The 25,421-nt window shown below is 34.5% G+C and overlaps 1 protein-coding gene and 1 long non-coding RNA gene across 19 annotated transcripts in view; one reads left to right on the top strand and one right to left on the bottom strand.

The window, feature by feature from the left end:
• The window catches only part of ATAD1 (ATPase family AAA domain containing 1), an 89,850-nt gene that overhangs the window by 45,057 nt on the left and 19,372 nt on the right, over window positions 1-25,421 (top strand). For 11 of the 18 annotated variants that reach the window (NR_135914.2, XM_005270252.6, XM_047425908.1 and 8 more), the window contains 5 exons: window positions 3,550-3,648; window positions 5,875-5,995; window positions 11,635-11,835; window positions 19,878-19,984; window positions 25,264-25,353. Coding sequence is in view for 17 of the 18 variants with exons in the window: in XM_005270252.6 (XP_005270309.1) it covers window positions 3,550-3,648; window positions 5,875-5,995; window positions 11,635-11,835; window positions 19,878-19,984; window positions 25,264-25,353 (618 nt within the window). In the remaining variant the exon portion in view is untranslated. Of the gene's footprint in view, window positions 1-3,549; window positions 3,649-5,874; window positions 5,996-7,175; window positions 7,266-11,634; window positions 11,836-17,573; window positions 17,775-19,877; window positions 19,985-25,263; window positions 25,354-25,421 lie in introns of those variants that run through there. The other 7 variants (NM_001321968.2, XM_017016848.2, XM_047425913.1 and 4 more) reach the window with 3 other exon arrangements.
• Window positions 1-25,421, bottom strand: part of LOC124902476 (uncharacterized) — a 36,088-nt gene that overhangs the window by 7,461 nt on the left and 3,206 nt on the right. The gene's annotated exons all lie outside the window — the stretch shown is intronic.

Here is a 25,421-nt window from a genome sequence, read left to right as displayed (position 1 = left end):
GCAGTTCCCAGCTTCACTTTTCCCTTTAGCTTAGTGATTTGGGGCCCCCAAGATTTATTTTCCTTTTACAGTACAAAGCCATCTTACCCAAGAACTTTCAGAATACATAATGGTAAAATGAGAGGAAAGAGGTATAAGTACACTAACCCTAAAAGAGGATCACTGTTTCCACATGTGTAGAAGATGTTTTTCCAGAGTTTTAATGTAAGTTTGTAATAAATGATTATATCTATTATATAAAGATACTTACATACTCAGAATCCTTGTTAGTTCCCTTTTAAATGCATTTTTAAAAAGCTTTATATCAGTGATTCGTCTGCATACACTTAAATTGGAACACTTCAGCTATGACCTTGGTAAAAAGATCAGAGGTTGTCCTTGTTTCTAACTTAAGTTTAATTCGTTCATCTCTGATTTTTCACTCTTGTTAATGACATGTCCAACTTTCTAAACTGATTCTTCCAAAAGGACAATTTTATGAATCTTTAGAACCTGAATGAAATGAGTGTTAGCTCATAAGTATTTTCTTTGCTGCTGCTTGTCCCCATTTCTGCCTTCCCTACTCCAGGCAAAAATATTAGTTTAATATTTCCTATTCCACTTCTTAATCTTTTTGAAAAAATAATACTTTGCATGGAGAAAAAAGTGAAATAGCATGAAAGGGTAAAAAATAGTGTGAAAGGGTAGAAAATCATTTGGAACAGTCAAAAAAATATGGGTATACAGTAAAAAGTAAGTTTTCCTCCTTCTTTTGGCCCCCACACACTCCCCATCCAACTCATTTTCCCTCCACAGAAACAACAACCACTTGGAGAGACCTACTTTAAAAAAAAAAAAAACAAGCAAACCATGGTGATCAGAAAATATAACTTTCATTAAGCTGTAAACAAGAAAGTATGCATAAACATAAGCCATTTTTACAGTAGTCCAATCATAATTTTGTTTTTCTGCTTATCTAGTGGCTCACTTAAAAGTGTCAAAACTAGGCAATTGTATAACTTCTTCCTGGGACACAGTTTGTTTGGTGGCAGTTTTGGTGTGTTTTTTGGTGTGTTCCATTTATTTGCCAGCCATGTTCTGCTCTCCCAAATGAAGAGTATTAGTGTTTCAGCAAAATATGGGATTCGAAATTAGACAAATCAGTATTTGAGCTCTGTTAATGTCACTTCCTAGCTGTATAATCCTGACATTTCTTTTAATTTCTCTGACCTGTAAATTCCTCATCTAAATAATAAGGATAATAATAGTTACTTCTCAGGTTAATTTTAAGGGTTGATTATAAATTACCTAGCACAGTGCTAGATATGGTAGGTGCTCAATAAAACCATTAGTTCCTTTTCCCTTTTCTTTTAATGATATATTGTGAATACAATCTGAAGAGATTGTTAAAGTGGGACTGCTGTTGCAGGAAAGAGATCTTAGGTAAACTTGAAAAGATAAAATTTTCTGTCTCTATGTAAACTAAACATTATTCATTTGTCATTTTTTATTTAGGAAGTTCCAGATAGAAATAAAGGCTATTCTTTAAATCAAGAGGCAATTTTAAAAGCTTTATTTAGGCATAGAGTAAAATTTTCAGGGCAACTAGCTAATAGGGAATAAAACAGGGTTTCTCATATCAGGCATTGTTGACATTTTGGGCCAATAATTATTTGGGATGGGGAAAGGGAGGCTGTCCTGTGCCTTGTAGAATGTTCAGTGGCATCTCTACCTCTACTGACTAGATGCTGGTATCACCCTACCCCCAAGTGTGACAACCAGAAGTATTTCCAGACTTTGCCAAATGTCCCCTGGGAAAACCACTGTCTTCGAGCGTTGCTTAAAAAGAACACATGTGGGAGGGTTTCACATTTACTGTAGCATAATGAAAATGAAGAGTAAATGTTATTCAGATGCTAAAATAGGATACCTTTTTTAACTGACATGTAAACGACTTATGGCAGTAAAAGAGAAGGTATTTACAAGTGACAAAGGGATCTACAAAAGATTATCTATTGATTCAGTGACTTTACAGGGGCAAGATAAACAGGAGATGTATCCTGTTTGATTATGTGATGTGGTTCATAGCACTTTTTAAAAATTCTTATGAGACAAGATTTGTCTCTTGTCCAGGCTGGAATGCAGTGGCATGATTATGGCTCACTGCAGTCTTGATCTCCAAGGCTCAAGTAATCCTCCTCCCTCAGCCTCCAGAGTATCTAGGACTACAGGCGTGTACTACCACATACAGCTAAGTTTTGATTTTTTGTAGAGATGGCGTCTGTGTTGCCCAGGCTGGTCTCGAACTCCTGGGTTCAAGCAATCCTCCCAACTCAGCCTTCCAAAGTGCTGGGAGCCCCCATTCCTGGCCCCCATAGTACTTTTTTTTTTTAAAGCTATTAAACACATTTATCCTAACCTCCTAGCTATTCTATAACTAAAATGCTGTGTGATGTGAATTTCCTTTTAGAGCAGTCATAACCCTGGATAGACAGCAAGATTCTATATAATCAAAAGCATTTTAGGAAAATGTAATAACCAAAACTTAGGTAAACATGATTTACCAGAGTCCCTTCATTTCTAAAATGTTCACTTAATTGAAATTTGAATTTGTTATGTATAGATTTTTAAAGACTCTTTCATGGTTATAAACTCCAGTCTTAAAATTGAAGAAATCAGGGCAAATATGTGTGGTAGTCAAGTATGGACTCTAGTGTTGGACTCCTTGAATTCATATCTTGTTTCTTCTCTTGGCTAACTTTTAACCAAAGGCAAATTACTTAATCATGCTAAACTTCAGTTTCTTTTTCTGTGATTGGGAAAATATTATGACTATCTCATAGTATTGGCTCTTAGGATTCAATAAGTTAATCCTTTTACTGTATTTTGGCATAATATTTGGCACACTCAGTAAATGTTTTTCATTATCTTTATTTTAATTGAAAGCTTTGTTGTATTGCTAGAACTCATAGGTTTAATGCTGGTTGTTAGAGTTATTTTTATTATAACTCTGGTTGCCTAGTCCCAAGAATTGTCTTCTACCTAAAAGGGACAGCATAACAGAGCAATTTAAAATGGGATATGTGTGGCCATCTATTGTAGATACCTGGATTAATTTGAAGGAAGTTGGACATCTGTTTCAGATACTCAGTTTAAAGAAACTTCACTTATACATTTCTTGCCCTCCTTAACTCCTCTGTCTTTCCTCTTGAGATTTCACCTTTGCCAGTCATGATAGTCCTGTTAGGAATGAGAAACTAAGCTGTATCCTAGAGTCTCATTGAAACAATGGGAGCCCCTCTTGGAAGTGTAAGATCTCTTCAGTCACATACCCTATTTTCTCATTTCCTGAAAGGTGGTTAAATTTCCCTGATTTCAGTGGATTAGAGCCTCAAATCGTTACCTGAGGGCTCACAATGGAGAAGGCTAAGATCAAGGGGCCTAGAATATCCTTGGAAATTTCTTGTATATCTATCTGTTCATTGCTCTTTAGACTTCACATATATCTATTTCGAAGTGCCAGTATCTAAATATCAAATCAAAGCAGGTTGTTTGTTCTTTTCATTCTAGGCAGAAAAACTAATGAAGCAAATTGGAGTGAAAAATGTGAAGCTCTCAGAATATGAAATGAGTATTGCTGCTCATCTTGTAGACCCTCTTAATATGCATGTATGTATCTTTAATCTTATTTAAGATTTTTTTAGAGGTGGGGGTGGGTTCTAGCATTTTGTGTCAGGGGTCTTAAAGATCACGGCCGGGTTCTTTGATTCTCTAGGCTGAATCATAAGACTCGGCATATAGTTGTATTCCTGTATATGATTTATTACACTGAAAAGATACAAAGCAAAATCAGCAAAGGGAAGGGGGCATGGGATGAAGTCTGAAGGAAGCCAGGCGCAAGATTCCAAGTGGAGTCACACAGTGCTTAATTAGTGCATCAAGTTGTGACAACACATGTGCAGTGTTGTCACCAGGAAAGCTCACGGGAGACTCAGTCCCCAACATATTTATTGGGGGCTGGTTATATAGCTTTCCTCTTCCCTTAAATGTACCAAAATTCTAGACTCCCAGAAGGAAAATGGATGTTTCACCATAAACCATATTGTTTGCACAAACAGTTTAGGCACAGTGAGCTGTTCTTGTCAAGAAATTGTGGCACTCTTCTGAAATCTAAGTTCCCACATGCCAGCCAAGGGCCAATCTTGCAAATATGCCTTTCTAAGGACAACAGTCTCAGGCCTACTTTGTTAACTCTTTTCTGTACGCATTTGTTTAGTAAAACTTTTATGTATTTGCCTTTGTGGTGTATAAAGCGTACTGCTTTAAGTCATGTGGATTTTTGTTTTATAGAGTTTAAACCTAAATTTTCATAATATGGTATGATAACACAGGATACTAAATCCCAGGTTTTCCATTAATGGCCTTGGCAAATGATTTCCTCTTTGAGTCTCAGTTCCCTCATGTATAATCTAGAGATAATAATACCTACTTTACCTACTTCATAAGGATTATTTTGAGGATGAGATTGATGTAATGTATAAGATCCTATATCAATATTTTGTAACAATAAGTATACATTTATAAATTCTATAAATAGAAAATATTTGCCTAATACATTAATGTTATATTGCTATAAATAAGTAGAATGAAGTAGTCCCATCTCCATATCTAGAAAATAAAAGTCTGCAATGTCTTAATATCTGTGTATACAGAGACATACACACACCCTAGAATTAAGCCTGCATTTGAATTTGGTTTATAGATTTACAATGGTACCTTCTTGGAACCCTGCCTATATTAATTTCTGAATAAATCTGTACTAACAGACTTAGTTTTTTGTTGCTGTTACAGTGAAAGTTATTTTTTTTTTCAGATCTGGCTGCTGGTTTGCACCTTCCCTTTTTATCATTTTTTTTTACATTTTGAAGGAAATGAATCTATTGTAAAGTATTGCTTCTGATTGGCCCCAACTCCAGCTCCTTTCAGGACAAGTGCCAGTCCTTTCAGGACAAGTTGAATCAGGTTTTTCTTGTCTATTTTGAAAATACGTATGCCCTGTTTTTATTTATAAAGATACTTCCTTAAGTTTTAACATAGTTGTAATTTTTTTTTTTTTTTTTTGAGACAGAGTCTCACTCTGTCACCTAGGATGGAGTGCAGTGGCATGATCTTGGCTCACTGTAACCTCCGCCTCCCAGGTTCTGGCAATTCTCCTGCCTCAGCCTCCCAAGTAGCTGGGACTACAGGCACACACCACTACACCTGGTTAATTTTTTTTTTTTTTTTTTTTTTTTTGTAATTTTAGTAGAGACGGGGTTTCAACCATGTTGGCCAGGCTGGTCCCGAACTCCTGACCTCAAGTGATCCGCTCACCTTGGCCTCCCAAAGTGCTGGATTACAGGCGTGAGCGACCACGCCTGGTCCATAGGTTTACTTTTGATGGATAAAATTCAGAAGCTATGTTTTGTAAGACCTTATTTCTAAAATTAATTTCTGTGATGCTTGACAACATCCTGTATAAAATAGGTACATTCCTGATGAGCTCTTTCCCATCAGCCAGTGCTAAATTATGTCTCAGCTGGTTCTCAGTATTCTTGCAGCAGAGTATTTTCTCCTTACAAGTGGAATGAATTTAGCTTATTAGACCCTTGCAGATTTTTGAGTACCTGACTTACAGATTTTTAATAGTAGATAGTTGACTATTAAATTCCTTTTTCCAGTTTCATAGCAGTTTATTTCATTACTGCTTGGAAAAGTCTTTACTTATGTTAATATATGATTTTAACTTATTTATGTATAATCATCAGATTAACATTTGTAATTTTGGGAGCGTTCTTTTTACTTTAGTGAGTGTACATTTGTAGTAAAATTCATGTTGACCTTAACTTTTGCCAGGTTACTTGGAGTGATATAGCAGGTTTAGATGATGTCATTACGGATCTGAAAGACACAGTCATCTTACCTATCAAAAAGAAACATTTGTTTGAGAATTCCAGGCTTCTGCAGCCTCCAAAAGGTATGGTAAAGGTATATATTCGCCTAAAGCATTAAAATCCTAGAAAACATTGAAACTTTCTGCCATTGTAGAACTAGTTTTTGTGAAATCAGATTCTCAAGAGGATGCTGAGATCTATGTGAACAGTTTCTTAAAATAATTGCTCATTCTTCAGCTTCTGAAATTGAGATAAACTTTTTCCTGTATTTACATGTTAAAATACTTGTTAAAATAATCTCCTTCAATTTCTTTTCTCTTACTTCCAAGTAAATTAAAATTTGGAAAATCAAGATTAAAGAAAGATTCAAAGTCATAATACAAGTTTTTTGTTTTGTTTTGTTTTGTTTTCAAGCCAAGACATTTTTTTCTTGTTTCACAGCTCCAACGATCTTATTTTTAGAATGTAATGATTCTTTTTCAGGAAATATTTATCTGCAGATGAACTAGAAATTAAATATTTAACTTTGATGGAGATGTTTGCTTATTCAAAATCACTTTGAAAGTCTTGGAACTCAAGAATTGAATATGCTCATAACTGCATCATTAAGTGTAATTCTTGTTCATTCAAATCTTTCTTTTTTTTTCTTTTCTCTCTTTTCTTTTCTTTTTGAGATGGGGTCTCACTGTGTCACCCAAGTTGAAATGCAGTGGCATGATCTTGGCTCACTGCAACTTCCGCCTCCCAGGCTCAAGTGATCCTCCCACCTGAGCCTCCTGAGTAGCTGGGACCACAGGCATGTGCCACCACGCCTGGCTCTTTTTTTATATTTTTGGTAATGATGGTGTTTCACCATGTTGCTCAGGCTGGTCTTGAACTCCTGAGTTCAAGTTCTTCACCTGCGTTGGCCTCCTAGAGTGCTGGGATTACAGGCATGAGCCATTGTGCCCAGCTAGTGCACATATTTCTGTCATGCTTAAGGCTTGTTAAAGGTGATTCAGATGGAGTGTAAATAATTTACAGTGAGAGATATATGTGTGTGTTACTATGGCGTTCAGATCCAAATTTCACGAGATAGCTTATTTTCATCTAGCAGAAACTCTTATCTAATGCATTGCCAAAACTATATGGGTTTGATATGTTGTTAGTCAAGACTTAAATTATTAGTCACATTGATTTTTCAAAAAAGTGGATCTTTAAAAATATCAAAATAGCATTATGTATGTTTAAATTATAATGCTTATAATCTTTCTAAATTTGCAGCTATATCAATAAAGTGCATTAATTTACATATCAAAGGTAACTGAAGCCTGTACCTGTGCATTTTTATGAACTACATAATTTTTGTTTCTGGTAAGTGGAGGATGACAGTTAACAGCAAAAATGACATGTTCTTTTATTATTAAAACAACAAAGCTATTAGGTATTTCTTTTTGTTTTCTGAAATAACAACACTGCTTATAGTTTTTCCTAACAAAACACTCAGTTTATTGTGATTTCCCCCCTGCCGCAAAAAAAACTTTGAATGATTATTTGAGCCCAGATCAAAAATGTATGGCTATAGTTGGATTAGTTAAGTCTTTACTACCCTCTTCCAGGTTATTTGTAGTCTGAACAAAAAATGACTTTTCTGCATTTTTAGTTCTCAATTGGACAATGCTAGTGAATTTAGGAAAGTAAAATACCTTTTATATGCTGTTGGAGAAAGCTTCTTTTTTTATCAGTGTTATCTTAGACCAGGTAATTGGGTGATTTCTCCAGTTGGACTTGGTTTAAAGACCCATTTAGCAGAGTGGATACCAAATTATGCAGGGAATACTTCAAAAGTTATATGTAAATTTGCTTCTTATTTGAAAGCATTGTCCAATTTAAAAGTTACATGAATATTTTCTGATTATATAAAGTTTTGCTATTTGAACTTTTTCACCTTTATGTCTGGACAATTTTTAATCAAGAATAACAGTTTTGAAGATCATTAATTTACTTTTTGACCCTCAATATAAATTGGATATTGGTGTATAGAAGCAGAGTGTAAAATCAGATGCATCCTTGTTTGTTCCATTTTGGGACTGGAACTAGGTTACCTAGGTTAGAGTTATTGACAATTTTATGTTATCCTTAGACAGTTTATTGCTATCTGAGCTGAAAGTGATCACTGCTTCACACAGACTACAAAAAGATAATTGGAGAGTGACTGCAGTATCCATGCAGTGCATGAGGTCATATGTAACTATTGTGTATAGATACAAAGTTGAAGCTAATGCACACCATGATGCCGCTAATTGGTGACAGGGAAATGGGGGCACACATAAGATATTGACGGTTATATTTAAAAAGTGATTTTTTTCCCTCAAACGTCTAAAAATTTACAACAGTTAAAATTCCAACAAAATCCATCTGAATACCATATGGCTTCCTCTGTAAACTTTCTGAATTCTGTATTGTTATTTTGGTATATAAATTTTATTACATTTGTGAATGTTATACTTCATGTTTTGGTGCATTCTTTAAATTGTGAGTAACCTAAGGAAAAAAATAATTTTAAAAATAGATTTTCTGTTATAAAGACCCATATTCTTCTCAAGTACTTTATATTTAAGTAGATTTAATTTATATAGATGTGTATTTTTGCACCATTTGGACAAATTTTATGTTAAAGCCAATAAACAGTTGTCCAAAAAAGAAAAATAGTCACTAATAAGGTGGAATATTTGTCACAAATGAGGATTATCTCAAATTTAGATTTGTGTATCCCAATACTTTTTTTGTTCTTATCCTTTTTTTTGGAGACAGAGTCTTACTGTCACCAGGCTGGAGTGTGTAACCATAGCCCACTGCTGCAGCCTCCTGGGCTCAAATGATCCTCCTGCCTCTGGGTCCTGAGTAGCTGGAACTGCAAGGCATGTACCACCATGCCTGCCTAATGTTTTAATTTTTTGTAGAGACAGGGTCTCACTTTGTGGCCCAGGTTGGTCTTGAATTCCTGGGCTCGTTATCCTCCTGCCTCAGCATCCCAAAGTGTTGAGATTACAGGTGTGAACCACTGTGCCCATCCTCTTCCTAAATCTTTTATTTGCATATAGCACTTACTAAGTAAAGCCATTACCAAAAACATCCGTCTTAAAAAGGAGTTTAAATTTTTAAGCCTCTATAAAGCTTAAGATAATAAACACAGTTTTTATTTGTTGAAGTTGGTTATAAAAGTATCAGATTAAGCTCAAAGAACTAATTTAAAGGTTGCAAAGCTAATAATAAAAGCTAAATGCCTCACATTCATTGCAGTACTCATTTGTCACCCATCGTAATTATTATCACTGTGGAGACCATTTTAGGAAAGTATATAGAAAAGGTGCCACTCTAAATAACGTTATCTCTAGACTCACTGATAATTTGTCAGACAAGCCAATCTGAATTTTAGTGTAACTTTTTTTTTTTTTTGAGACGGAGTCTCGCCCTGTTGCCCACCCTGGAGTGCAATGGCGCAATCTCGGCTCACTGCAACCTCTGCCTCCCGGGTTTAAGAGATTCTTCTAACTCAGCCTCCCCAGTAGCTGGGATTACAGGCGTGCACCACCATGCCTGGCTAATTTTTTATATTTTGGTAGAGTCGGGGTTTCACCGTATTAGCCAGGATGGTCTCGATCTCCTCACCTCGTGATCTGCCCACCTCGCCCTCCCAAAGTGCTGGGATTACAGGCGTGAGCCACAGGAATGGGGATAAAGCAGTTTACTGAATAACTATAAGGCTAACACACTTATGTAACTACTACCCAGGTCAAGAAGGGAATATTGACAGCTTGTGTACCTTCTCTGTTACAGCCTGTCCCCAGAAAGTTAGGATAGCCACAAGCTTTCTTTGCATATTGAATCTTTAGGCACTCCAGACACTCATAACTGCTCAGTTAATAACACTAATTGTAATCCTTGAAGAGGAAAAACTTAATCCTGCTAAAAAGTAACAAAACCGATCTACTAGAAGGGAAATATTCCAAGTGATAGATGAATAATTTGAATCAAACACAACACTCTAAAATCTCTGAATATGTTTATGAAGTGGTAGAGTAGCTACAAAGTCAACAAAATATGGAGGCTTTTGCATAAATACTTTGTTCTAAAAACCTTGAAATTTAGTTTTTAAGAAAGTACCAAGTGTAACAATATAAAAACCCAGAGATTTAAGTAACATGTGTATAAAAGTTTTATAATGGATATGCATTCTATATTAAATTATGTGATCAAAATGATGAAATTAATAATTCCAAGTATCTGCAAACAGGTGGTTTTAGATTACTATTCTTTATTGTTTCATATGAGCCATCCAAAAGAAAAATGTCAGTAGAAGATTCAAATTATAACTGACTTAACCAAATTTTAAGCACCTAAGTGAACTTAATTAAAATTTGCAGAATGCTTGAAAATACAATTAACATGTATTGGTAAAGCTTATGGATTTAAATTTAAAAGTCAGCTTTAGAAAAGTTTAGTTTCATATGATTAAACTTAGATTAGTTGCTGTTAGAACTTGAATCTTCAAGAATTATAAAGACCAGTAGAAAATTCTATGTATGCTTGAGGAAGAGCTTGAACATTATTTTGAAGTGTTTGATGTGAAAAATAAAATTGCTAGAGTTATGGAATCAGGTGCAGATTTCTTTTTTTTTTTAAATTGAGATATTTTTGGGAATTTTCATACAAAATTATTTTTCCTCTCATTTTGAATTTTATTTTTATTATATATAAGAAAATTTTGGACTCCTCCAGATCCCTTCCAGTTCACCCTAGCATGCCATCTATATAGATGGCATTTTAAAAAATACTGTTTCATAGGAAAAGTTGAGCTTTGAATTAAACAAATATTTTGAGAGGTCTGCCTATTACAGTTTTTGTTAGGGCTGTCTGTAGATGGTTTATTTTAATAACCATCTTAGTACTAAGTTTAGGTGCCAGATCATGTAGTACTGAGTTTAGTAATTTGGTAAAATTATAATTTTAGTATTATATATTTAGTATTATTATATATTTAATATTATTAAATTTAGAAAATGCTATCTCATTTTAGTTGAGAAACAGTTGGTGGTGGTTCCCAAAATGTTCAAGATCCCAACCTCTAGATCCCTTGTATTAAAAGTGTTACCTTAAATTGTATTTAGCAGCAAAATGCTGTTAATGGAGACCATAGGTTAATAATATAGTTTTATTCTTTGGAAATTAAAACAGGAGTGACTGATAATTTCTGTTTCTTTTAGGAAAAGATTGTTTGGAAAAAGGCACATGTCCTTTGGCTAAAACTTAATCTGTGAGCAACAGCAAAACAGTGTTTGCCACAATCTGTTTTGAAGTTGTTTACCTTCTGTAGGCTAATATCAAAGCACTATGGTGCATTGTTTGCTTGTGAAGGTGGAGGGCCTTAGATGATTTTGTTTTTCAACTGTTGATAAAGTGGTATGAATTTGGATGTCAAGGTGAGCATTTAAACTGAACCTTTTCATGAAGGGAGAGGGCACAGGATGCTGTAATCCCCAAATACATGCTCTTAACTGACACTGAGCTTAGAACATGGCATCTTCCTTTCTTCTATCTTACCTACTATAAACAAGATTAAATAAAAGCAGAATTGAATATTGGGAAAGTTTTTTGTGGAAGGAATTACTATTCTATTGATTATCATATAAATTGAAGCAAATATCCCCTTAAAGGTAATAAATAACATATTCATTTCCAGGTGTTCTTCTCTATGGGCCTCCAGGCTGTGGTAAAACGTTGATTGCCAAGGCCACAGCCAAAGAAGCAGGCTGTCGATTTATTAACCTTCAGCCTTCGACACTGACCGATAAGTGGTATGGAGAATCTCAGAAATTGGCTGCTGCTGTCTTCTCCCTTGCCATAAAGCTACAACCATCCATCATCTTTATAGATGAAATAGGTATGCTATGTTTTCTATATGAGTATTTTTAAAGGCCATTTTTAGAGATATTTAGATAACCAGATTTAGTTTTTAACATTTATTAGGCCATGTTAATAAAACAAAGAACATAACCAACATCATAATATGCTATGTATAATTTCTGTGTTGTAGAATGAACCATAGACTATATACTCCCCTACTTGATAGATAGGTTTTTCTGTCTTTTCTCTGTTACAAACAGTATGCAGTAGATATCCATGTACATGTTTTCTCATGTATATATGTTTGCCCGGGAAAGATACCTAGAAGTTGAATCATTTGGTTGTGTGATATATCTATCTTCAACCTCACTAGGATTACCAGTTCTTTAGTTATTATACCTATTTATGTTTTCCTGCTTGGTAGTAAACTTGGGCATCTTTTAGCATGTTGATTAGCCATTTGGGTTTTCTTATTTGTGAATTGTCAATATTTCTTTGGAGTTATTTGTAGTTTTCTTTTGTTGATGTTTATTATGATTACACCTATTTTCTAGTCTATCTTTTTTCTGATAGTTTTTTTTTTACAGTTTATTATTTGGCTATAGTCAGTATTTTTCCTTTGTGGTTTATACGTTTTGTATCTGGTTTACAAATACCTTCACTATCCCCATAAATGTTCTCTTTTTAAAAATTATATATAACATGAGATAGGAATCTAATTTCATTCTTTTCCAAAAAGACAGCAAACTAGACTATCCTTTGCTGTATGTCATGACTTTTATATTAATGGACTCTTGCTATATTATGGATCAATATTTTTGTTCTGTTCCTGGTACGATGTATATATAAATATATATAGTTATACTAATACAGTATTATTAGTATTGGATATATATTTATATAGCTTTATTACTGTAGTTTTGAATTATATTTTATTATTGTTAAATTTAGTATGATAGGCTATGTAAATATGTAGAGAGAAAAATAGATACAAATATGTAGTATAGCTTTGTTTTGGTTACTTGTTTGCTTTATGTATCTTTTCTCATCAATTTACTCCAGTTATTTTGGTGTTTTGGTGTGCATCTTGAACAGAGGAATATATAGCTAGTTTATTTTGTTTTTGTTTTTTTTTAAGACAGCATCTCACTCTGTTACCCAGGCTGGAATGCAGTGGCGTGATCATGGCTCACTGCAGCCTCAACCTCCCCAGGCTCAAGTGAACCTTCCACCTCAGCCTCCTGAGTAGCTGGGACCACAGGTGTGTGCTACCACACACCACTAATTTTTGTAGAGTCAGGGTTTCTCCATGTTGCCCAGGATGGTCTAAAACTCTTGGGGCCAAGCAATCTGCCCTGCCTTGGCCTCCCAAAGCATTGCGATTACAGGTGTGTCCACCACACCTGGCCTATTAGCTATATTGTCTAAAAATTTTAATCTAAGCTTCTCTTTAACTGGGAAGTGTGATTAGTTTGATTTTGTTATGATAGCTGAGATAATTCAGATTTCTTTTTTTTTTTTTCACGCTCTGTCATGGCTGGATTGCAGTGGCACAACCATGACTCACTGCAACCTTGACCTCCCCGGCTCAAGCGATCCTCCTGCCTCAACCTTTCAAGTAGCTGAGAATACAGGCGTGTACCACCATGCCCTGCTAATGTTTTAATTTTTTTGTAGAGACGAAGTCTCACTATGTTGCCTAGGTTGGTCCCCAACTCCTGGGGTCCAATGATCCTCCTGCCTCAGCCTCCTAAAGTGCTGGGATTATAACGCCTAGCTGATTTACTTCTGCTATATTATTTTTTGCTTTTAATTTACCAGTCTAGTAGACTTTTTTGCTTTATTCCCTTTTTCTTGCTACAGGTTTAGAAGTTATACGTTCTTTTACTTTAGTGAAACGTTTAGAATATCAACTTAAAAGTCAAGGGTAATCTCTACCTTCCTTCCAAATAATTCACAGAGAACTTAGAACTCTTAGGTAATAATAATATCTCATCTCTTACATGTTATTGTTAAACATTTTATTTTTCTTCTACCTTCGATATTAATTGCTATTTTATACTGGCATTGCTTGTTTAGTGCCACGTTTGCTAGGTTTTTTGCTCACCATTGCTTGTTTGATCTTGTCTTTTCTGGATTTAACTTTGTTTTTACTGAAGTCTTTCAAAGTTCTTTCAGCAAAGGTTGTACAAAGAGTAGATTCTTCCTGTGTGTGAACATGTGTTAATTCTACTTTCTCTCTTAAATGATACAGAATCACATTCAGCGTCTTAAAGCTACAATTCCACTGCATTCTAATCTTTTTAATCTTGTTGCTTTTGAGAATTCTCCTTATTGCCCTATATTTGTAAGTAATCTATCCTTTCTCTCTAGTTGCTGTTAGATTTTCATGTCATTCTGCTATTTAAGTATGGTTTTTTTCTAGGTCTGCATTTATTTTCATTTAGCCTGCTAAGCCACTTATCTGAGGATGTGTGACTTTCATTAATTCTGGAGGATTTCTCAGCCATTGTATATATTTGCATGTTGCAATGTTCCCATTAAAAAAAAAAACAATTCTCAGGCCAGGTGTGGTGGCTCACATCTGTAATCCCAGCACTTGGAGAGGCCAAGGCAGGAGGTTTCCTTGAGTCCAATAATTTGAGACCAGCCTGGACAACATGTAAGACCCCATATCTACAAAAAAAAATACAAAAATTAGCCGGGTGTGGTAACGCATGCCTCTAGTCCCAGCTACTTGGGAGGCTGAGGTGAGAGGATCACTTGAGCCCAGGAGATTGAGGATATTCAGTGAGCATAGGTCATGCCACTGCACTGCAGCCTGGGCAACAGAGCAAGACCCCATCTTCAAAAAAAAAATTCTTCATCTCTTCCATTTTGAGTCATTTCTACAGTTTGTCATTTAGTTCTGTACAGTATTTCATCAATTCTAAGACATACTGTTTTGTTTTTTACATTTTAACATCTTCGAAATTAGGATAGCATGTTACAATTGAGTTGGCAGCATTTTAAGTTTCTTGTTGGTACACAAAATAATGGTACAACTTAAAAATAATTCAATTTTTGAGTAGATTATAAAGGCAATTCTTTCCTTGGCTATATTTAATCTTTCAACTATTGGGTTTGTTTTTTGTTGATTATATTTGAACTTTAGAAGTTCTGTTTGGTTCTTTATAAAATGTTTCCCTTTTTTTACTGTAGCTTGTTATTTTAGAATTTCAATCCCTTTTATATCTTTAGAATTTTAAACATACTATTTTTGTGTAGTTTTTGAATTGCTCTTTTCTGAAATTCTAATTTTACTTTATGTTGACTTTTTTTTAATAGTGGTTTGTTTCCTTGTGTCATTTGTAACATTAGATGGCTTTAGGCTTGCTTTTATATGAGAATTCTTTTTTGCCTAAGAAGATCCAGAGTACTTTTTCTGTCCTCAGCTTAGAACTTCAGGGGTCTGATCGTTCAAAACCAATTTTAGATAATTTCTCAGTTTGTGTGTTCCCAGACTGAATGGTGGTACAAATTTAGACTTCATACCTGAAAGAGACTCCCCATGGTCCTAGTTTTTTGTGTAAGGAGGACATTTTTACCCCTCAGAGCCCAGGCAAAGATGGACAAGTTTCCTTGTACAGTGACGAGCAAAATTTTTTTTCTTGTCTACACTTTCTGTGAGTGTTAATCCTTCCAAGCATCTTGGCTTCAGCCTGTATGTAGATGTTAACAACAAAGCAGAACCTTTTGATGCTGTATATGTCTATATGCATACCTGCTGTGTATACAAACACAACAGACGGTAGCATAATCACATCAAGGTTTTCCAACTCTTATGTTCAGTTCCACTTTTTTCTGAACTCTGGGATTTTTTTTCTTTGTTTCTTGCAACCTCATATCTTCATTAACCTTTTCTAAAATACATTAATAGTCTTTATTTTTAATAATGGTTTTAAGTTTGCAGAATTGAGCAGAAATCATATAGAGAGTTCCCATATGCCCCCCAGATATATAGTTTCTCCTAGTATTAATACTAGCATGAGACATTTAATAATGAACCAGTATTGATACATTGTTATTAACCAAAGTCCATAGTTTAAGGTTCATTCTTTGTGTTGCACAGTTCTTTGGGCTTTGACAAAGCATAATGTTTTTTATTTATCATTACAGTCTCATACACAATAGTATCAAATATTTGTCCTTCCCTTTTCCTCCCAAACTGCTAGCATCCGCTGATCTTTTTTTACTGTCTCTATAGTTTTACCTTTTCTGTAATGTTACAGTTGGAGTCATACATTATGTAATCTTTTCAGACTGGCTTCTTTCCCTTAGCAATATGCATTTAAGTTTCCTCCACATCTTTTCATGATTTGATAGCTTATTTTTATTGCTAAATAATATTCTATTATGTAGATGTACCACAGTTAGTTTTTCCATTCGTCTATTAAAATGACACCTTGTTTTGGGCAATTAGGAGTAATGCTGCTGACAGCATCATGTGTAGGTTTTCCTGTGGACACAGGTTGCATCTCAACTGGGTGAAATACCTAAGAGTACCACAGCTTGATCACATGGTAAAACAGTGTTTAGTTTTGTAAGACACTAGCAAACTGTCTTCCAAAGTGGCTGTACCATTTTGCATTTCCACCAGCAATAACTGAGGTTCCTATTGGTATACATCTTCTCTAGCATTTGGTTTTATTAATTTTGGGGATTTTTAGCTATTGTAATAGATATATAGGTATCTAATAGTTTCCCATTTTTAAAATTTGCATTTTCGTAATGACATGATGTGGAACATTGTTTCATGTGCTTATTTGTCATCTGTGTATCTTTGTTGAGGTGTCTGTTCAAATGTTTTTCCCATTTTGAAACAATTGTAATATTTTTTATTGTTTGATTTTTTAATTTTTTATTGATACATAATAATTGTACATATGTATGAGGCACCTATGCAATGAGCAAATCAGGCTAATTGGAATATCCATCACCTCAAAGATTTATCATTTATTTGTGTTGGGAACAACAATTAGGTTATTATCTTATTGTTGAACTTTAAGAGTTCTTTTTATATTTTGGGTACAAGTCCTTTACCAGGTATGTGTTTGCAAATATTTTTTGCCAGTCTGTGGCTTGTCATTTCATTTCCTTAGCAGTATCTTTCACATAGCACGAATTTTATTTTATTTATTTTGTTTTATTTTATTTTATATATTTTTTGAGACAGAGTTTCACTCTTGTTGCCCAGGCTGGAGTGCAGTGGCACGACCTCAGCTCTCTGCAACCTCTGTCTCCTGGATTCAAGTGATTCTCCTGCCTCAGCCTCCCAAGTAGCTGGGATTATAGGCATTCGCCACCATGCCCAGCCAATTTTGTATTTTTAGTAGAGATGAGGTTTCACCATGTTGGTCAGGCTGGTCTCTCAAACTCCTGACCTCAAGTGATCCACCCACCTCGGCCTCCCAAAGTGCCACCATGCCCAGCCAGGAATTTTAAGTCCAACTTACACATTTATTTTTGATGGATCATGCTTTTGGTGTTAGACATAAAAATTAATCAAGTCCAAGGTCACCTAGATTTTCTTCTATATTATTTCCTAGAAGTTTTATAGTTTTGTGTTTTACATGTATATTTGTGATCCATTTTGTGTTAATTTTTGTGAAAATTACAGTCTGTGTTGGTCCGTTTTTTTGCCGATGAATGTCCAATTGCTCCAGCACCATTTGTCAGATGTGCATTTACTTTTATAAAAAAAAAGTCTATCCAATTTTTTGTTTGTGTTTGCAGATACAGATTGAACATCTGTAATCCAAAAATCCAAGATACAAAGTACTCCAAAATTCGAAAGTTTTTGAGCAACAACATGATGCCACAAGTGGAAAACTTTCATGCCTGACCTCATATAACAGATTGTGGTCAAACCTCAGTCAAAACTTTGTTTCATGCACAAAATTATGTAAAATACTGTATTAAATTACCTTCATTCTATGTGTATAAGGTATATATCAAACATAGATGAATTTCATATCCGGACTTGGGTTCTATCCCCAAGATATCATATCATTATGTATATGCAAATATTCCAAAATCTGAAATTTGAAACACTTCTGGTCCTCAGCATCTTGGATAAGGGAGGGATACTCAACCTGTGTCATTTTCTATTTTTTGATCATTCCGAGTCCTTATATTTATAGTATGTTTCTTCTAAGCAAGCATATAGTTGTTTAAAAAAAATTTTTTTTTGAATAGAGGAGGGGTTTTGCCATGTTGCCCAGCCTGGTCTCGAACCCCTGGCTTGAGTGATCTGCCTGCCTTGAGTTTTTTTTTTTTTTTTTTTTTTAATTTATTCTAATATCTTAGTCATGTATTTGGAGACTTTAATCCACTCACAATTTAATGATGGATGTAATTATTTATACATATCTAGCATTTTTTCATATTATTTTAAGTAACCATCTTGCCAAAACCACTTAGTGAAGATTAGGAAGATTAAGTAGGCAGTTGAATTTTAAAATTTATCTTTAAAAATTAGGCAGTTTTAAAATGACTGGTTTTTCCACCTTCAGAATAGATGGGTTAGTTTGAATTATAGTCCAATGATAGGACAGATTTTACAGAATTAAACTTTAAATAAATCTAGGATATATGTTTGCCATTGCAGGACTCTCATGTGTCATGGTAATGTGTTTTTGCTGAAATTACTTTTTATAAAAAATACTTTTTTGAAGTGTGGACATAGCACATTACAAGATATTTTTGTGCCACTTGCATGTATGATCGACAAAGTTTGTGTTGTAGTTTCAATGCTAAAATGTAATAGTTATTCAGAAATAAAAGTGATTTATAGGGATATAAGACAAAACATTTGAAATGGGGATTGTACTAGAAAATCCTAGATTTATTTTTACTGTTTTTTTTTTTAAATTATTAGGATGTAGCACCTTTCAGTCTTATATTCTAAAATAAAATTGTTTTCCCCTTTTTTTAAAAAAGCATTTCATGTTCATTGTAGATAATTTGGAAGACAGAAAATAATTTAAAAGAGAAAGTTAAACTTGTCCTTAAATCCATCCCTGAGCTATAATACAACGTAATTAGCATTTTGGTATATTTCCATAAAACCTTTTTTTACCTTGTATAACATATGTATGTACATTCCAGCATATATGTTTTAAATCATTTTCTGTCCTACATTTTTCGGCTTAATAGTGTTTTGCTCATTTTTCCATGTCGTTTTTATTTATTAACAGGAAACTGCATGAGAAAAAAGTATGCAACATAACTAAGAGCACATAGGGTTCAGGTGACCTAGAAAGTTAGAGGCAAAACACACAGGCTTTCATCTGAGATTCCACATAACTCTTCCAGCCTCTCAGTACTAGATCCTTCATTTTTCTTACATATGTTGTCATGAATGTATTTTTAGAGAAGAAACAAAAATTATGAATGATTGTGTTTTAATTTGCCTAATAATTTACCAAGTTTATTGTATCAGAATGTCTAAAACACATAGCCCAATTTTTTTGTAATCTTTCATAAAGTTTTCAGCTTTAAAACACTTTTTTTCTTTTCATTTTTCTTAATTGACATAATAATTGCACATATTTATGGGGTACAGAGTGACATTTCAATGATCACTATAGTATATAGTGATCAGACCAGGGTAATTAGAATACCCATCATCTAAAACGTTTTATCATTTCAGTATGTTAGGAACATTTGAAATTACATAAAGAGTAAATAAAATAAGGCTAGGCATGGTGGCTCATGCCTGTAATCCCAGCACTTTGAGAGGCCAAGGCAGGAGAATCACTTGAGGCCAGGAGTTCAAGACCAGCCTTGACAACATAGTCAACCTGTCTCTACAGAAAATAAAAAAAAAATTAGCTCCGCATGGTGGCACATACCTGTGGTCCTAGCTACTCGAGAGGCTGAGGCAGGAGGATCACTTAAGCCTGGGAGTTCGAGGTTGCAATGTGCTGTAATTGCGCCATTGCACCCCAGCCTGGGCAACAGAGTGAGACCCTGTCTCAAAAAAAAGGGTAAATAATTAATTCTTAATTTCTAAGGTTAAGGACCTTTTACTTCTAGACTCCTTTCTACGAAACCGTTCAAGTTCTGACCATGAAGCTACAGCCATGATGAAAGCTCAGTTTATGAGTCTCTGGGATGGATTGGATACTGATCACAGCTGCCAGGTATTTGAATAAAATCTGCCCTCAACTTGTGTTGGTTTTTTTGTTCTTAATAGAAAATTTGCTGGGCTACTTACTATGCTTTTGTACAAACTTTTTTTTCATAATTATTTACACTTATGACTAAGTGATAAGGATCCAAAAGAATATGGTTTGTATAAACTTTATCCAATTTGAGGACTTCGTGTTTACCAAAACATTAGTAGATTGCCTAAATGCCTGAAACAGACACAGCAGAAGAGAAAACACCAGAGTAAAGCCTGTCCTTGGAATTTTCAGAACCTACAGTGCTAAGGAGAGGAAGTGACTAGTGTCCGTGGGTATTGTGTACATTTTTTTAAAAAACTGTTCTTTCTGTTTTCCTCGGTTCTTACTTTTGACTTTCACCATAATTCCTTATACTGTCAATTCTTAGTCACTTCCCTGATTTTCATTTGACAGAGTTCATTAGTAGCTGAAACTGACAACACTTTCTCACTTCCTGTCACCTATGCCTATCTTTAGGATCCCAATTTTATACGAGACAGACTTGTATCCTAGGCTTTTCCTCTTCCTCCTGTATGGCTGTGAAACCATAGCTTGTTCCCTGTTATGTGACCAAAGAGAAAGAGAGCTTTATTTTTCAGTTTTCCTCTTCAGGTTCCCAGTTTTCATTTAGTTTTTGGCCTCTGAATATTCTGTGCTTTCTTGTCAGCTTAGTGGTTTAAAAGAAAGTTAAAAAGAAGTTAATCTGGCATGTTTGTTTTTTCAGCCAGATTGCTGGAAATAAACATCCTAGAACCATTTTCCCTTTTTTTTTTTTTTTTTTTAATGAATCACTTACTTATATCTCATGGAAAAGTTAACAGTGTTCTTTTGTTGTTTTAACTTTAGTATTTTCTCTTTTTTTTTTTTTTTTTTTTTGAGATGGAGTCTTGCTCTGTCGCCCAGGCTGGAGTACAGTGGTGTGATGTCGGCTCACTGCAACCTCCGCCTTCCGGGTTCAAGCGATTCTCCTGCTTCAGCCTCCCAAGTAGCTGGGGTTACAGACGTGCACTACCATGCCCAGCTAATTTTTGTATTTTTAGTAGAGACTGGGTTTCACTATGTTGGCCAGGCTAGTCTTGAACTCCTGACCTCAACTGATCCACCCACCTCACCCTCCTGAAGTGCTGGGATTATAGGCATGAACCACTGCGCCCAGCCAACTTTAGTATTTCCTATTTTGTAATCTGTTTTTGCCTTTTTAAAAAAAGTATTATATTTAGAATTATTTAAAATTCAGTTATTATTTCTTCAATTATTGTTCTCCATGTTTTATCTCCTTCTGGAATGCAAGTTGGATATATGTAGGACCTTATTTCTATTTCATGTTTTGTTTTGTTTTGTTGAGACAGGGTCTCACTCTGTTGCCCAGGTTGGAATGCAGTGGCGTGAACATGGCTCTCACTGCAACCTCAACCTCCTGGGCTCAAGCGATTCTCCTGCCTTAGCACCCCAAGTCTCTGGGACTACAGGTGCACGCCACCACACCTGGCTAATTTTGGTGTTTTTTTTGTAGAGACAGAGTTTCATTATCTTGCTCAGGCTGGTCTTGAACTCCTGAGCTCAAGCAGTCTGCCCGCTTTGGCCTCCCAAGTTTGGCTGGCATTACAGGTTAAGCCACTGTGCCTGGCCTATTTCATGTCTTTTTTAACGTCTCTTTCATATTTTCTGTCTTTCTGTGCTATGTCCTGGATAATTTCTTTTCCTTTCTTCTGGTTCATTTGAAGCTCTTCTACTATCTGACTCTTTCATTGAGCTTATTATTTCAAGTATTATATTTTTCAGTTTTAGAAATTCTTAGATTGTTTTTCACATCTACCAGGTCAGTTTTGATAGGCTCTTGCTTATTACTCATGTTTCTAATTGGATTAGAAAATCAGAACCCTGGCATCAACAAGCTGTGTAGCCTTGGCCAAATTTTATAATCACTCTGTATCTGTATAGAGGGAATAATATCTATAAAAAGGGAGGAATATTACCTACCTCAGAACTGTTATGAGGAATTAACCTGAGTTAAGTACATAGGCTTTACCTCCAGCCTTAGCTTAATTCGTTTACTTCTTTGCAAAATTGTAGATTAATTTATTTGAGTCTTTTAAATATTTTCTTTTTGTGGCCAGAGGGTTTAAGGATCCCTTAAGCCCACCGCATTAGCATAAGTCAAAAGTCTGAACAACATCATTCTCAAGAAGAAAATTAAGCCACATGTCCTCCTTCTACATTATGTTTGTGAAAGTGTAGTTTTATTATGAGGAAAACAGCCTTTAGCTTTTGTTGAATGGTTCAAGAAAAAACATAACATAGATAAATTTAGGTAACATTAATAGAAACATTTTTCATTAATAATTGGTTTTGATAAATCTATGCGGTTTATCAATGGGACTCATGTACAGGTTGCCAAAAACTAATTATTCTCCCTGAGAAATAATACTTAAAGCACTTAGACAATTGGATAGTTAGCCCATGTAAGAGAAAATATCTTAATATTATGTACCCTGTCAGAGCATAGTGTTCAACTATTTTCAGCAGGGGATATAGAGGCAATTGGATGAAGTCTTCTCCAGAGCCACTTCATCTATAGCTCCACAGTATGATTCTGGTACAGCATAACTTAAAACAGAGTTTTCAGAACCAAAATTCCTTATTGCACTAATAGCAATTACTGTTTTCATTATGATGAGTTTTGATTTGAGAGAGCAAATGCTGCTGCCTTTTTATTAAACTGCGGTCACTTTTTAACCTTTATTGTATTTTGGGGGCGGGGGTTAAAGTTGATATTATTAATTTTGAGTAATAGTTTTAGACATATTCTACTTTCATATGAACCAGTTAGCTCTTCTCTAGAATTGTCTTTTCTATGATTATGAAGAGAGCCCAGTACCCTAGCTAGCTTTCTTGTAATATGGTCACCAAGGAAATAGAAATAGAGAACGGCTCAATGAAACCGGTCACTGTTTCTGGAAACCTTGGTGACTGATGACATATTCTTCCTCTTGAGAGACATGAGACATAAAAGATAGTGTTTTTAGGGTATTCATTGATGAAGTTAAAGTTTTGGGATGTAAATTTAGGTCTGATTATTTTAAATGTGAAATGATAAAAAAATTATGTTTTGTTTTAAAGAGTTTTTTTTAAACTTTTATTTTAAATTCAGGGGTATATGTGCAGGTTTGTTACATAGATAAATTTGTGTCTTGGGGAGTTCGTTGTACAGATTATTTCATACCCAGGTATTAAGCCTAGTATCCATTAGTTATTTTTCCTGATCCTCTCCCTCCTCCAGATGAAGCTGGAGGCCATGATTCTTGGCAAATGAAGGCAGGAACAGAAAATAAAGATTTTTTTAAAAGTTTGAACAACTAACACATAAAAGGAGCATTGATTTTGTTTCTTAAGTAGTAAAAAATTACTGTCACTTCCTGTTTTATATTTTAGCTCATTTGTATTGAATTAATATATATGAAAAGGTTCTCTGCTTTTGCTGCTTAAAATTACTCCTTAGAATTTGCTTCTTTATGTGAAACTACACGTGATTTCAATCACTTTTGCTTTTTCATCATGAGTATCTGTTATACATACTCAATAGGCCATGTTTTACTAGTTTTATTTGGATTCCTTGGTTCTATTTTTTAGTATTCCATCCTCTATACTGGCTTTTAAATTTTGTTTTGCTTTGTCCTATGTTTCTTCAAATGCTGGCCATTTCCCTTTTTCCCCCCCAAATATTGACTTAACCACAGTGTCTTTTGTGATGTTTTTTCCTTATACTCATTCATTATCTTATGCTTTTAGTTCATTCACCCACTTTTAAGATTTGTTTGTTTTAAATTTGGAAGAAATTTTTTCTTTTTTATTAATTTTATTGAGTTGTAAAAAGTCAATAAAGAGGCTGGGTGTGGTGTTTCACATCTGTAATCCCAGCACTTTGGGAGGCTGAGTGGGGAGGATCGCTTGAGCCCAGAGGTTTCAGACCAGCATAGGCAACATAGTGAGACCTTGTCTCTACTAAAGACGGAAAAATCAGCTAGGCACAGTGGCATGTGCCTGTAGTCCCAGCTACTTTCTGTCTTCAAAAAAAAAAAGAAAGAAAGAAAGAAAATAAAGAAAAATAAATATGAGCATTAATATTTTGATTTTAGGACCACTTAACACAAATACAAACTTGCATTATGTTGTGTTGTGGAACTAACATTTTTCAAATTTGTGTTTATATTTTCTTCCTCTAGGTGGCAAACTCTCACAGTTAATTGAAAGTAATTGGGCTCTGAGGCTCCTGAATGTCATTCAGTGTAGAGTAGAAGTAGGATATAAGATTTGGATTATTTCAGAAATGTAAAACCTCTTAGGGAGAAATAAGGTAATGTTAGAGAAATGTGTTTCCATGGAATACCAATAAATTTCACTTTGGATAGCAGATGTGTATTGTTACTGGGTTATACTGAAGTATCAACAGTAAAGGTAATATTGATGTCCTTCAGAAATTAACTTGTTTTATATATCTTTGTTTTTATTCATGTTTATTTTTAAAGTTCTTTTTTTTTTTTTAATCTCTACATCCTTTATAAATAAGTGACATAGACTCAGAGGTTGGCAGGGCTGCCAGCATTTTTAAAAAGAGTTCTTCCCAGCATTTTGATGTTTGCTTATACTCTGTTATCTTTGTTTAAAGTTGGATTACTTGAGACTTTATTTCGCATTGAGAAGCTATCACCTGCAGTGCTGATAGTACCATGAGATGATGATGTGAAATATAGAGAAAAAGTACACAGTATCTATTACAGTTACCAGAATCTTCAGACTTATTAAGGGGAAATGATTCTCTCCATAATATTATTATTTAAGGACTTGAATTATCCCCTTATACTCCCAAACTGTATACCCAAGCTATAACATAATGGGTTTTAGTCATTCAACATGTATTCATTAAGCACCATATTTTGCAAAATACAATAGTTTTTTAAAAGCAAATTTTAATAATTTTTCAGTGGCTATTTGCAACTGAACATTACATACTTTAATTTCTAGAAAGACATGAAGTGAAATGCATTAGTTTTCCAGTTTTGCTAATATTTGATTTATTTAGGATTAACTTCAATTTATACCTGTAAATAGTTGAATAATAGTGATTTAAAATCAGATTTCTTACAAAGGATTTAGTTAAAATACCACTTAATTTTTAAAACTAAGCCCTAGTAATAACATTCTCAGAGGAGTATAATTGGTAGATTTAATACCTTCTGTCTTCTTTATACACTTAGGTCATAGTAATGGGAGCTACCAATCGTCCTCAGGACCTTGACTCGGCTATAATGAGAAGAATGCCTACAAGATTTCATATCAACCAGCCTGTAGGTGGTCTTGATTGATATTATGAAGAGTTAAATACTCACCTTTTTATAGGTCTTCACCTTTAATT

This window comes from Homo sapiens, chromosome 10, assembly GCF_000001405.40.
Source record: "Homo sapiens chromosome 10, GRCh38.p14 Primary Assembly".
NCBI classification, from domain to species: domain Eukaryota; kingdom Metazoa; phylum Chordata; class Mammalia; order Primates; family Hominidae; genus Homo; species Homo sapiens.
This window is presented reverse-complemented; position numbering and strand designations above follow the sequence as displayed.